The sequence below is a fragment of the Homo sapiens genome, chromosome 10 (assembly GCF_000001405.40).
Source record: "Homo sapiens chromosome 10, GRCh38.p14 Primary Assembly".
Taxonomy (NCBI): Eukaryota; Metazoa; Chordata; class Mammalia; order Primates; family Hominidae; genus Homo; species Homo sapiens.
This window is the reverse complement of record NC_000010.11, coordinates 85,774,834-85,789,255: the sequence shown is the minus strand read 5'-3', so window position 1 is coordinate 85,789,255 and position 14,422 is coordinate 85,774,834. Positions and strand designations below refer to the sequence as shown.

The following is a 14,422-nucleotide window of genomic DNA, read 5'->3' as shown; positions in this document are numbered from 1 at the left end:
GAGCCAGCTCTGTGGTTCCTGCTTACACAGTCACAATCCTGAAATTTGAAAATAGATCATAAATAGACATGTAGATGACCTGAATCCAAGCAGAGGGGGCACCCTGGGGGAAGAAGACAAAGCTCATTTATTTATTTATATTTACTTATTTATATTCTGCCTCCTTCCCGAAAAGGATTTCTGACAGTTTACAGAAACACTTAATGTACAATGGGAGGTATCTTTTGTTTTTTTTCCCTCTTAATCAAGAAATGGGGGAAATTAGGGCAAAGAGAAAATGAGGGCAGAGATGCAAGATGAAACTGGTGGAAAGCTAAGTATACAAATGCATGTACCCACCCTACCTCCCACTGACCCCGAGTTCTCTAGCTTAGTTTTATTTCTCAGCCAAGTCCTAACTTGGGCTGACATCTCCAAAGCAGCTGAAAGCCCTCCTGGCTGGTGCAGTCTGGTGCTCAGCAACTCATCTGCGAAGGACTTGATTAGTTGCTAGAGGTCAGCTCCAGACACTCCATATGTGCCTGTGCACCTCCAACTAGCCACAGTGAGGAGGCAAACAGGTCCCATTTCACAGTGCAAGACTTTCCTAACGGAAGAATAAATCAGTGACCCAGAAGATGACGAGACTTCCCAGACCTCTACTCAGGCCTGAAAAAGTCTGTGGGTAATGACTTATGTGTGGGACAATTAGGGTTTGCCTGTCACTGTGGAGTAAATTCATGAGGTTGGCCAAGAAAACTTCACTGGCCCCACTGTGGGCCAGCCACATTGGTTGATGTTACAGATAAGACCGTGGGCAGACAGACTCATCCCTGCTTTAATGGGGACCCCACTCTTTAGGGGAGACAAGACCATAAGAAAGAACACACCTAAACATAATAATTAAGTGCTAAGTAGGAATAGAGGGGCTTCCAAAGTGTGCTTTGGGAGCATGGACTGCGGACAACCGTGAGCCTCTTCTGGCCAGGCTCACTGCGCCTCCCTGCCTTGGCCATGTTTTATAAGAAAAGTTTCTCCCACAGAGAAAGAGCAAACCATGAAAGGAAAAGGCTGGCAAGCATCTAGGCAGTCAATAATTCCTGATTTTTTTTCCCCCTCATTCATCAGCTCTTAATTGGTGTCTGCTGTGTGTCAGACATTCTGCTAAGGGGTAATTAAAAGGCAAAATAACTTCTTTTTCTTTTCTTTTCTTTTTTTTTTTGTGAAGTTTATAGTCTCCAGAGGGTGACCGATGAGTTAGCAGATCCTTGTGATGTGCTCAGTATTTTGCAGGGGTAACAGGAGACAAGAGCAAAGAGCGGAACCAGGGCCAGACCCTGGGGAGGGATTTGGAAATGGATTCTGTGAGCCACTGGGGACCTTCTCAGTCCCAGGAGCAGAAGCATCGGGAGTAGAAAGAAACCGGAGAGAGGGAGTGGCTGGTGGTGTGGGGGCCCCTGGCTGTCAGATGACAGCAGGGCACAGCAGCAGAGAGGGGCAAGGCGGGGTGGGCTTGGCAGCAGACCCACCCATTTAGGCCGGCTGGGTGATGGTGGGGATGCAACTGGGCAGTGTGCTGAGCTGAGGATTTACCTGGCTCCACTGTGGTCCACACGAGTGGGTGGTCCTGTGTGTCTCAGAAGCAGTGGATGTCACAGAGCTGGGCAGGCTCTTGGAAGGGAAATGGAGCTGGCTGGGCAGGAGACACCCACGACATCAGCCCCTTGTTGTTCCCTCCCAGGATTCAAAGCAGAGCTCCAGTTCCTGTGGGAGGGATGAGTGAGAGGAATGAGGCCTACATTTTTCAAATCCAGCAGGGAGGTGGGTGCCCAGCCCCAGGACATGGCAGGAGCTACTCAGGCCGCTAGCTTCACCCACAGGACCTCTTATGAACTGGGTCCAGGTGGACAGCAGACTCAGAGGAAAAAGCAGAGTGCATGGCCAAGATGGACCTGAGGACAGAGTGTTCAGATCCAGGCAATGAGGATGTCAGCACCAGTAGGCCCAACTGGATACCTGGGAGTGGCCAGGGCAGGGGCAGGCACATTTACCAAACCCTTCCAGGACTGTCCTGGATTCACTATGTCTGTGATCTCACCACCACACTGCATGAATGGGAATGGTCTCTTCAGCTACCAATGGGAACAAGGCTCAGAGAGTGTATAAGTAACTCACTCAATGTCACAGTCGTCTTCCATGGGTGCTGTGCTCTAACCAGGGCTGCAAGGCATTGATGGGAGATGGTGGATGGCAGCTGGGAGGCAGAGGGGGAGCCCTGGGGCAAGCCCCAGCCATGGCTCTGCCCCCAGCTCTCACAGGTGTGACCTCCAGGCAGGCTGGAGAGAGGCCCCATTTCTTAATGGCTGGTTTATTTTCAGGTTGAAAGCTTCTCCCTCCCACCACCCCTCCTCCACGCCCTGCCCTTTGCAGCCTGGGCCCTGGGAGGCCATAGTGACACCCAACACTCGCAGCAGGTTCATTGCCTTCTGCACAAATCTCCTTCCTATCAGCCGGGTCCTGGCGGGGGGTGGGGCATGCTAATCTAATCGGCCCTTTCCCATCTGTAATTACTGTAATCTATAACAATAATTACAGTCCATTTTATTTTAGTGCCGCTTATCTAAATGTGGATGTGCACTACTGAGATTGCCAATAGAAATAAGCCCCTGGGTGAGGCAGCAGGGTGGGAGGGATGTCGGGGAGAAAGCTATGCCTTGCGGGCCCACGTGGTTCCAATGTGCTCCTCTCCAGCCCTTTGCTGCCCTCCTGAGGCACCCTGCTGCCCTGTGGAGTCCGGCATGCCTGCAGGGGGTGGACCACTGAGCAACCAGGAAAGAGCAGGGGTTGTCACATCAATGCTAGAGTTTAGTGACTTCCCTCGGAACAGGTTATCTTGAATCCTAGAGCCAGCATGGCAGCTGCTACAAACCCTTTTGGGAACAGGGATCATGCCCTCAGCGCCCAGTTTCTCAGATGCCAAGTGCAGTGTCTGGTGTGTGGTTGGTGCCTAATGAGTGCTTGGTGAATGATGTAGAAATCACACTAAAATCATATCGTGTCACTTAGGCTGGCTATTGATTCAGGCAGCTTTCCCTTCATGAATCAGGTCTCACTGCCTCTGTAATTTGGAAAGATAACTACTTGGGGGAATATCATGAAAAAAATTCATTTTATACAGCATGATGTAGCTGGGCTAGAGATTGTGTGTGCATATGTATGTATATGGTGTGTATGTGTCTGTGGTATGTGCATGTGTATGTGTATGTGTATAGTATGTGTACGTGTGTGTGTCTGTGTAGTGTGTGGGTATGGTATGTACACGTGTGTGTATGTGGTGTGTGCGTGTGATGTGTGTGTGTCTGTGGGGTGTGTGTAGTGTGTGGGTGTGGGGGTATGTGTGTGTGTGCATTTGTTTAATGCACTTTGGGCTGCTGTTGCCTGTTCTTCTGGTGGAGGAGAGCCAATCTGTCTTTGGTTTTATCCTGAGTCACATAAAGTTCCTGATTTCAGGTTTGGGAGTCTGGGGGTGGAGATGGCTGTGGTGGTAAAGTTGGGTGTAAACCATTTATTACCGGGGCTTCACCATGAAGTCCAATGAGGCTGCTTTACTGAATTTACTAGGTCCCTGGAACACTGAAAAAGGAAGTCAGTGCCTGTCCTTGGCGACTGGAGGAGACAGATATTTCAGTCTAGCCTAGAAGCCTTAGACTCCAGAAGTCATGATCCCTTCAATATTTAAAAACAGCTTGAGATTTCATCCAGCTTATGGAGGGGAACCCAAAGCCTGCCACGGCAGAGCTGTGGTCATTCTCAGGGAAGCCCCTTCCTAGTCCCCACTTTTCTTGTCTCTTTCCGCGTCCGTGGAATTCATCTTATGATTATTTTGCTTCCTGCTGTGGGTCTGTTTCCTCTGCTTTGCTCTGAACCACTGTGGAACCAAACTCTTTTCCTTTGATTTGTAAAGGAGCTTCTAACACAGGGCTGCTGCAACAGCAGAATTTCAGTGAAGGTTTGGAGTGTTCAGAGACCAGCATAGTGAATTCCTTACCTGAATATTTAGCCTGTAAGTTTAAAAGCATTTCCATCCCGTTCCAGTTTATTTCTCATTCGTGTAAAATCCAAAATGAGTGTTCCTGATTGCTAGGGTGCACAAGTGTGTGCATGTGCATGCGCCTCTCAGTCAGGCCAGGCCCCAGATCAAATGACTGGTTCAGAAGCCATGCTGGGTGACATTATGCTATCTACATACAAGGGAGAGCATCGGGGATCTCCTCTGCAATTGTGTAGCCAGACTTAGAAGTGTCACCTGTCACATCTCATTGAGCAGAACTCAGTCACATGGCCATGGGGACAGGAAAGTGAGGCTGAAAATGCAGTCCAATTGTGTGCTCAGAGAAAAAAAAGGAATCTTGATAACCAGTGAAAACACTATTCCATAGTTAGCCCTTGTGTTTACCAAATGTTTCATTTATTTTCGCTCACATAGAGCATGCACACCTCGTCCTTAAAGCAGACAACCTTCAAATCCCACCCAGCCTCTAGATCCATTCAAAAGCCCAGAACTTCTGGACTCCATCAGCTTAAGATGGGCTCCTTGCTGTACTGTGACTCAGGAGCTTAGACAAGCAAACTGATGCTCACGGTTGTCTGCAGTCCATGCTCCCAAAGCACACCAGACACGGTCCTAGAATTGGGACAGGATAAATGCAGTAAGCATCCCACTTGGTAGAAGGGGGAAAGGGAGATGCACGGCCATCATTCAGGGCGTTGCTGAATTCCTGGGAAGCCCCATGAGCACATTAGCCATGGCGGTGGACAGAGTGCCCCGGACAGACTCTAGTTCTGTCCCCTAGGAAGAACTCCCTTGACCCATTGTCCTCTGTGGCCTCTGATCCTCTGTCTAGAGGTCTGTACTACCCATTAGCCTCCTGGACACACCTGAGGTGCATGCTGTGGAGTGTTTATGGGCTTGAGGATTGGTTTATGTAGTCAGAGCCTCAGAGATGAGCAAAGACCCCACTATTGAAAGTAAAAGTTCTTTAATTTACATCTGGCATGCTTTTAACATCTTGAGCTAGATGATTCCTGTTTAGACCCTCAAAATAATTCTTGCAAGAGAAGGTCCATGTTTCAGTTTTCTTAATATTTACATTATTTCCTTTGCAAGATGTTCCCCAGCTCCTTTTTAATCTGTAGCAGATTTTGCTGAAGGTTTGACATGTTGGAGAGTGGTTACATCACAGCCCCACCTAGGAAATCACGAAGAAGCTGAACATTACATGCTCTTGTTCTTAAAAGGCCCTGGGCCCCCTGATGCCAGCGATATCTCCCAACCTCAACTAACCAATAACCCCCACATGACATGCAGCATCCTGGGAGTGGCCAGGCTATCTCAAAGAATGCTCTTCTCTGGGTACTCTTGGGAGGTTTTATTTTGGCTCAAGTAAGCTTCTGGTGACAACAGCTTTATATATTTTTTTGGAGTAAAACAATTCTGGCCATGCTGGATGAGAGGGAGTTTTGGGCAGGTCCCTGATTGCCTATTTGTCTGTGCACTGAAGCAGACTCGTGGCAGTTTTCTAAAGTGATCCCTGTTCCCACCAGTGGTAATCCTCAGCTCACCTCATGACACAAGGACGAAGTGTTTTTAGCAAGATCCTTGGCTCCTACAAAGGTATGTCATTTTCATTCTGGTTTATTTTCTGTGAATCCTCAGAGGTTAGTCCTCCCCTGGCAACCACAAGAGCTATATTCAGTGGGTTTCTGGGCAATGCCACGACAGTCCTGAGCTCACTGTCTATCTTTCTGTCCATAAAATCAGATTCGAGGAACTCCATTCGGTGAGGATTACATGAAGGATGAGAGGTCTTGCCCCACTTCTTGATATTATAAACCTGTGTGTGGTCAGTCTCTCTGTCAGAGAGTAGCGCCTTCAGATGCCCAGCCCTCTCTGCACCCTTGGCAGAACTGGTTTGAGCACCTTGCACTTTACCTAAGAAACAGGGTCTGGGAAGCTTCTTGTCGCCTTCATTGCAAGGGTGCTGCTAGCGATGCTGTTGTCCACTTTGCTTCACAGAGTCTGGATATATGATCCCCCGGGAGACAGTCTTTTCTAATTACAATGCCAAAAACAGTTTTAATCCCTCAGATTGAGTTGTTGGCACTTATTCTCTGGGGATGGTGCATTTGGTGATGAATAGCATTTCCCTGTTTGTGCCAACTGTGACTCCTAGGAGGCTGAGAAGAAAAATGAGGCCCAGCTGTTGGAGACGTGGAGAGATCATCTTTTTAGGCATTTCTAGTGCCGTTCTGGCTGTAGTTTATTTCCATCCTTATTCATTTTCTTTCTTCTTTTGATCCCATGTCAATGTGTGTCTTTTATTGCAATTAACTGGGTCAGCTGCCCAAAATTCCTCCTGGAAGAAGATTTAGACGTGCACGTACACTAATTTGTACTTGAATCTTTTCTAGAATAGTCTCTGAGGCCCATGTGACCCAGTCCCCTGTGACATCCCTGGCTCCACAGCAGCTGCCCTGGCAGTATTGCACTCATTTTATGCCCACCAGGCATGCATCTACGTCAGGGCCTTTGCACTCGCTGCTCCCTCAGCCCAGAATGCCCTTCCCCTGATACTCATTTGCCTTACTGCCCCCAATCTTTCAAGGTTTTTACTCAAATAACTCTTCTTCAATGAGATTCTTTTGTTCACTTAACATTTCAACTCTAACACTTCCCATTGCTCATCCCATATAACACCTGTATTAGACTACCTTCACTAAATTGTAACATATAAGACAGCAGTGATTTTTACTTGTTTTTTTAATTGCTGGGTCCCCAAGGTTTAGAACAGGGCCTGGCATGCTCAATAAACATTTGTTGAATGAATGAAGAAATTCTGTTTTCAAGCTGTCAGTAGACAATGATACTGCCCGTCCTACAGAGATCTCATAAAAGGCATTGATTGTCAATTTTCCAAACATTTTCCTTGCATGATGTTACAATGTGGATTCTGATTACTGTGTAAGTGCGTGTGTGTGTGTGTGTGTGCATGTGCACTCACATTTCTTGTCTGAGGGTCAGTTGTTAAGTGTCGTAATTGGTATTATTGCTGTTATTGTGATTTTGGGCTAATTGCAGTAGCTCCCAGACCTGGCTGGCTTTGTAAACATTTTAAAAATGTTATGAAATTATTATGAGAACATTAATTTGGATTTATTGTAATTAAACTTTAAATTTTTTGCCTTTAGGAAGATTAATTTTGACAAAAAAGACTAACAAAAATAGATCAAACCAATGTTAAACTGTTGAGAATTCCTGGCCTCCTAAATAACCATTGAGGTCTGGAAGAGCTTGTCAGGGCCTAGTGATTAAGATGATGGATTCTAAGCCCAGACATTTTTGTGTATAAATCCAGGCCCAGCAAGTTACTGACTGTGTGATCTTGAACTAGTTTTTGGTTTTTTTTTTTTTCAAATGTACAATATATCTCTCTTTCTTCATTGGAAATTGAAGGCCATGATACTTACTTCACAGGCTTATATAACACTGTCCTCTGTGTAAAATGCCCAACATGAGGCCAGCCATGTAGTAGATGCTCTTTAAATACAGATTTTACTCAGGAGGCTTGAGGGAATGAGTTAGCATTTCCTGAGTCACATGCTGTGGTCTGAAAGTTTGACCCTCAGTCACCCACTTGTTACCTACGCTCCAGCATCACACAGGCATTTTATCATCTCAACCACCACGTTTGCAACTGGCCAGCCACTGCTATACTGCAGCTCATGTAATCAATAATGTTGTATTTTACAAAAGTAGATTATTCATTTGTCAGAAACATACTACAAAAAAGTAACTATATGGATTTCAGGGAACAAAGGATTAATTTCTGATGGAGCTAATCATGCTTATGTGGCATAGTGGGAGCACGCAGAGATGTCTCAATATTTGAAGGGAAATGTTCTTCCCCAAATGATATTATGACTCAGAAGTCCAGGGGAATTAGCTTTAGTCTCCTTCTAGCAGAGGAAAAATTATCCTTAATTTGATATTGATTTTTTAAAATTGGGTTCTGCTACTTTTACTTTCCATCTGTGAGCAGAGATTCAAATGCCAGCTTTTAATCCTAGAAGCACCTACTTCATTTCCCCTTCTGGTTGGGGAGATCAGGCGAGCCCTCCAAAACTCTGTAGAGATTGGAGGAAACTTCATGTAATAGAGAAAATCATTCCTTCCCAGGAGTGGGCTCCTGAGCCCAGTGGCTGCTTGGCCCTCCTTTGGAAACTGGGTTTCCAAGCACTCTGGTGTTCACCATGGACACACCCCTGGGCCAAGCAGGGCATTTTCTGGTCTCTCTTTACAAGACCACACTTGTGCAATTATAATAGCAACAACTATTTATAAAACACTATGTGCCAGGAAGTTTTTGAATGGCTTTGCATCAAATGCCTAATTTAATCCTCAGAACACCACTGTGACTTGACTTCCATGATTAAGCATTGATATTGACCCCATTTTACAGAAGGGAGGCGTAGCTCACCCAGGATCCCACAGCATGGCAGAGTGGAAATAGGGTCTGACCTGTACTATCTGCCTCCAGGCTGGGTGTTCAGGAAGCTGGCTCAGAAGTGCCATTGTCATAACTAACCTTGTATGAGGCCCATGGTGTGCCAGGCATTTCGAAAACATCGGCTCAGTACTGGTAAGCAGCAGCCCCATAGGAGGGATTATCATCCACATCCTAGTGATGGGGGAGCTGAGGCTGAGTGAGGTTAAGTAATGTGCTCAAGGTCACAGAATAGTAATTAGGAGAAACAGGACTTCTGCCCCGTGGTGCAGGATGAGAAACAGGGCTCTCTGTAACACCAGATTATACCAGTTCTTCTCACTCCAGCCCCACTTCCTCCTCTACCTCCTCCAGGTAGGCCTGGGTTTGTAAATCTGTGGGGGATGTGGTGGCCATTGCATCTGGGCATGTTCTGAATCCCAGCTGCTGATGGCTGTGGTTCTGGTCTATCTGGACTGCAGTGCCCATGGCAGCAAGGCTCTGAGTGGACAGTGGCCTCGCAGATCCTCCTCTCCTCTCTGGTAAATTTGCTCTGATGCTCTAGGGCTGGGATTAGACAACGATCTCAAGATGTCCTCCCAATGCCAAGCATGGTGCGAGGTAGAGCTGCTCTGCCCCTTTTATTTCATCCAATCTTGACTTGGCACTGCTGAGCCTTAAGGGAGCACATGACATGGGCTAGTGCCTGGAAAGAAGATGGGATGGAGAATCTGCATGGTGCTGCACCTGCCCTAGTCATTTACCCCTTCCCTTTCTCCGGCAGGCATCTTTCCAACATCCCACAGACTCTGCTAGCATGCAAAGCCAACCAGGTCCAAATGCAAAGGACTGCTTCCCTGCACATGGTGCCTTCGTAGAAAGCACCCATCATTTCCATGTGTAACTTTCCTTTTCCCTTTCCGTCTTCATCTCCACAGGGCTGCATTGCCAGTGCCTGTTGTGTGAGATTAGGAGGTATTAGTGACTGCTCATTCAGGGGCAAACTCATAGAACATGCCTGGAAGGGGCAGTTAGGACCTCTTTAGATGATGTAATTAACCTCGTCACATTTCTGCTTGTAGAGTGGATAATGCTGTCAAATGCTGTCCAATCTTTCTGGTATTCAACATATTTTGATTAAAACAGAAAAGCCCAGCCTGGGCCGGGAGAGGATCAGTTGAGCCTGTCCTTTCTGATTTGCAAAGGAGTCTATCGTTACCTGGGTGTCTGTCCTTCTGAAACATCTGGGAGTGGTGATGTCTGCTGGGAGCACAGGGCCTGGCATGCAGTAGCCAGTGGGTACTCAGTGAGCATCTGATGCCTACACTACATGGTAGGGATGAAACCCTGGCAGGAGAACTGAGAAGACTCCCATCAAGTTAGAGAGATTTCACTCTCCTAAGGCAGGTTTTGGATTTTTCCAGTAGAGTGAAGCAGGGGAACAAAAATTGAGTCTTGTTCCCATTTGATGTGCTTTATGTGTTTGCCTGGAGGCCTTCGTAGACTGAGAAACAGCAGCAAATTCGACAAGGTCCTCCTGGGCCGGGGCTTCCGAGCTACATTTTCCTTCCTTGACAGGCAGCAGAGCTTTTTCACCCAACTTTTCTCCAACAGCAGCTTGGTTGCATGAACAGCATGAAGAAATAAAAGTATTTAACTTCACTGAAGACATTTTGAAAAATGACAACTTAAATCATTTCCAGAACTGTTTTTTGTTTAAAGGCTTGGCTGCTTCTCAGACTTCATAGCTGCTTTCTTCTCCTTCATCCTCCTCTAAATATTATTATTTCCTGGAGATGCTGTCTTTATTCCACACTCTTCCCAGCTATATCTGTCTGGTCTTCCATGATTAAGCACTGATATTGGCCCCATTTTGCAGAAGGGAGGCATAGCTCACCCAGGATCCCACAGCATGGCAGACTGGAAATAGGGTCTGACCTGTACTATCTGCCTCCAGGCTGGGTGTTCAGGAAGCTGGCTCAGAAGCTTTGAAGGCTTTTTGTATACTTTTTCTGTCTCAGAAGTTTCTCTAAAACACCTTGCTATGTTGTTTTTACTGCTGGGAATTCTTGGTTTTCTGTTGAGTGTAAGTTAAAATACAAATCATCAGCACAGCACACAGGTCAAACTTGTCTCCTTGCCCTGAAATTGTTTTGTTTTTTCCTCTTCCCATGCACTAGAAAGTGAGTTTTCCGAGGTCAGGAACTGTATCTTTTTGCTTATCACACTATCCTGGGGCGCTATAATGATGAGCAGAAAAGGGAAGCACAATGAATTATTTTTTGGGGGTGAATACCACATGGTTCCTGACAACCTAGCCCTGGAGTGGCATTTCATTCCCAGTGACACTTCATTCAATGCTGTCCCCACCTCTCAACCCCTGCTCTGGCCTACCTCTTACCTTGCTGAGCCACCTGTTCCTCACCTTGTCACTGCATGGCCCTGGTCCCCATCATGATTCCCACTGGAGTTTCTGCTTGTCTAGCAGGTGTGCCAGACACGGGTTCATCTCATGCCCCTGAGCTCTCACAGCTGCTCTGACACTTCCAGAGCCCCTCCAGGGCCAGTGCCAATGCTCCCTGTGTGTGCTCCTCAGAACCCCTTTTCTCGTCCATGTAGTTCTAGTCCCATTGATTCCAGCTTCATCTTTTATTTATCTCTTGAATTCCACAACAGAACATAGTGTCTTCCAACAGATCCCATGGACAACAGAACCTGACACCAAGATGCCCAAGAATTGTTAATTAATGAGTCTTGAGATGATAGACCATGTACAGAAATACATTTGGGGTGTGGATTTATTCTTTCCTCAATATCATCCCCCTAGTTTTAATTAGGACTAAATTTCTGCGTACAAGAGTGTCTGATGATTGCTGAATGCCTGTCTATCACTGCTGAGTGATGTTGTGTCCTTGGCTGTGGTAACCAACATTCCTCATTTGCCCAGGACTAAGGAATTTCCTGGGAGGTAGGACTTTCACTGCGAAAACTGGGAGAGTCCCATGGTCAGTTCATCCTCCTATCCTGAGCTATGACCAGTTGAGAAGTCTCTTTAGTAGGCAAAAAGCAAGTAAATTGGCAATTTCCTTTTACATGAAATCATGGCTGTTTTCTCCATTAGATTGTAATTTCTATGAAGACACATGATGAGAACTTCAAAGAAACAAAACAAGACAACAATATGACATGGGTCTCCAGTCCTTGCTGTATGTTAGAATCACCTGGAAGCTCTTAAAAATCCCAGTGCCCAGGTCCTACCCCATTCTACTTAAATCATAAGCCCAGGTGTGGGAGCCAGGCATCAGTCTATTTTAAAGTCTTCCAAGGATACCAATGTTCAGCAAAGTTGACAGGCATTATGGGGACTCCTAGAAGATATGAATGGATTTGTTGAGTGGACAGTAGGCTGGAGGTAGGCAAAGCTCTTCTGGAAATATTACAGGCTGGGAGAAAGGAGGGCCCAGGGGAGAGAGTGGACCCCAGGTTTTTGTAGCATTGGCCTTTGCCCACTGCTAATTCTGGGAACATCCCCACCTCCCTGATTTAGATGCCCACTTATTAGGGCAGAGGGCATGGTTGGTAGGCCAGAGGAGAAGGTGCCCAGCTGTAATTATACATTAGGTTGGAGAATTAGAGAGGAAGGTGGAGGTTTGTGCTGATATAGGACCCTTTCCCATTACACTGGGAAGTAATGCATTTTATTGTCAAATTTGCTGTTTGTTTTTATCCAGATAATGATTTCAGCTGCCAATACCACAGTTTGTTGTAGCTATAGGTAGCAAATGCATTTCTTTGCTAGCCTCTCACTGTGGTCTGCTTTCTGCCTCCCTGTGTCCCCAGAAAGCTTGGCTAGTGAGCAAGCCACACAAGGACTAGCAGACTTGAGATTCAGTGGACACAGCAGAGATTTGAGGACTATGCCAGAACATGGCTGTTAGCTTCATCCCTGCCTCACTTTACTCAGTTCAGAGAGCCAGTGCCCTTGCAGGCCAACCTCCTCTGCGTTGGCAGAGGATGTTGGGCACCTGGATCACCGGTAGCATTTGCTTGTTGACATAGAGGCTTGACAATCTGAGTTAGGGCTGCGGTCGCTGCGCTTGGTAGAGTCCTCCATTCTAAGGTGTGGCTTCCAAGCAGTGATCTCCCCTTCTGCTGCCTCCCCTCGGCTGCTGGCTATGTGGAGGTCTCAACACAGGCCACCCCAGTTCTTGCCACTTCCCTGGAGAGGTGACCTCAGCTCTGCCCCAGCCAGGACCCTGGCACTGTCTTGCGTGTGTTTCTATTTTTCTCCTAAGTGGAGAAGGTGGGAGAGTATTTCATATTTATTTAGTAACCTTTTATATTTTTCTCTGCTATCAATTGTCTGCTCTACGTTCTTTGTTGTGGAAAGCATGAAATTGATCTGAGCCTCACTTCTGTCCCTTATAAAAAGGGTTGTTTTTAGGATTAATTTTTATTTGACATTGCATAGGTGAAGTGCTTATTCCTGGGCCCATAACATCAAGAGCTGCTTGCTTATCTTTGTAGTCTTCTCTTGGAGCAGCAAAGGCCTTACACCAACCATTTCCTCCAGCAGGCAAGGGCATCGTAGTTAAGAACGTGGAGGTGTTGTGCCTAGGTTGGGACACAAACCCAAGTCTCTTCAGTGCATGGCTTCTAACTAGACCATCTGGCTAACTAATGAGACCACCAATGCTTTTTTGAGTATGTTTTTTTTTTCTGATCTCAGTTACATATATTTAAAAAAATTCATTAGGTTAAATCTGTTTTGATTGTTAAACTATTTGATTATATTATATATTCATGTGGTGCAAAAATTTGAACAAAACTATTATATAGTGAAAGTCCTGCTCCCCACCCACAAAGAGAGTGACTCTTTTGTGTTTAGTCCTCACTTCCACCCTGCCTGAAGAGATGCCTAATGTTGTTATTTTCTCATATACAGTTCTTTAAACCAAATAAATTGGAATAGATATTTCTCAACCCCCTTTTCAACAATATTCTTTTACAAAAAATTTAAAATTTTTAAATGATTTCAACTATTATTTTAGATTCGGGGGGTATAGGTGCAGGTTTCTTACATGGTTATATTGTGTGATGCTGAAGTTTGGGCTACGATGGATCTCATTACCTAGGTAGTGAGCATAGTACCCAATAGTTAGTTCTGCAACACTTGCCACTCTCCCCTCCCTTCCTCCTCTAGGAGTCCCCAGTGTCTATTGTTGCCATCTTTTTTTTAAATTTTATTTTATTATTATTATACTTTAAGATTTTAGGGTACATGTGCACAATGTGCAGGTTAGTTACATATGTATACATGTGCCATGCTGGTGTACTGCACCCATTAACTCATCATTTAGCATCACGTATATCTCCTAAAGCTATCCCTCCTCCCTCCCCCGACCCCACAACAGTCCCCACAGTGTGATGTTCCCCTTCCTGTGTCCATGTGTTCTCATTGTTCAATTCCCACCTATGAGTGAGAATATGTGGTGTTTGGTTTTTTGTTCTTGTGATAGTTTACTGAGAATGATGATTTCCACTTTCATCCATATCCCTACAAAGGACATGAACTCATCATTTTTTATGGCTGCATAGTATTCCATGGTGTATATGTGCCACATTTTCTTAATCCAGTCTATCATTGATGGACATTTGGGTTGGTTCCAAGTCTTTGCTATTGTGAATAGTGCCTCAATAAACATACGTCTGCATGTGTCTTTATAGCAGCATGATTTATAGTCCTTTGGGTATATACCCAGTAATGGGATGGCTGGGTCAAATGGTATTTCTAGTTCTAGATCCCTGAGGAATCGCCACACTGACTTCCACAATGGTTGAACTAGTTTACGGTCCCACCAACAGTGTAAAAGTGTTCCTATTTCTCCACATCCTCTCCA

At 45.8% G+C, this 14,422-nt stretch overlaps 1 protein-coding gene across 3 annotated transcripts in view; it reads left to right on the top strand.

Annotated features, from left to right (window-relative positions):
* Window positions 1–14,422, top strand: part of GRID1 (glutamate ionotropic receptor delta type subunit 1) — a 767,244-nt gene that overhangs the window by 577,540 nt on the left and 175,282 nt on the right. The window lies entirely within an intron of this gene.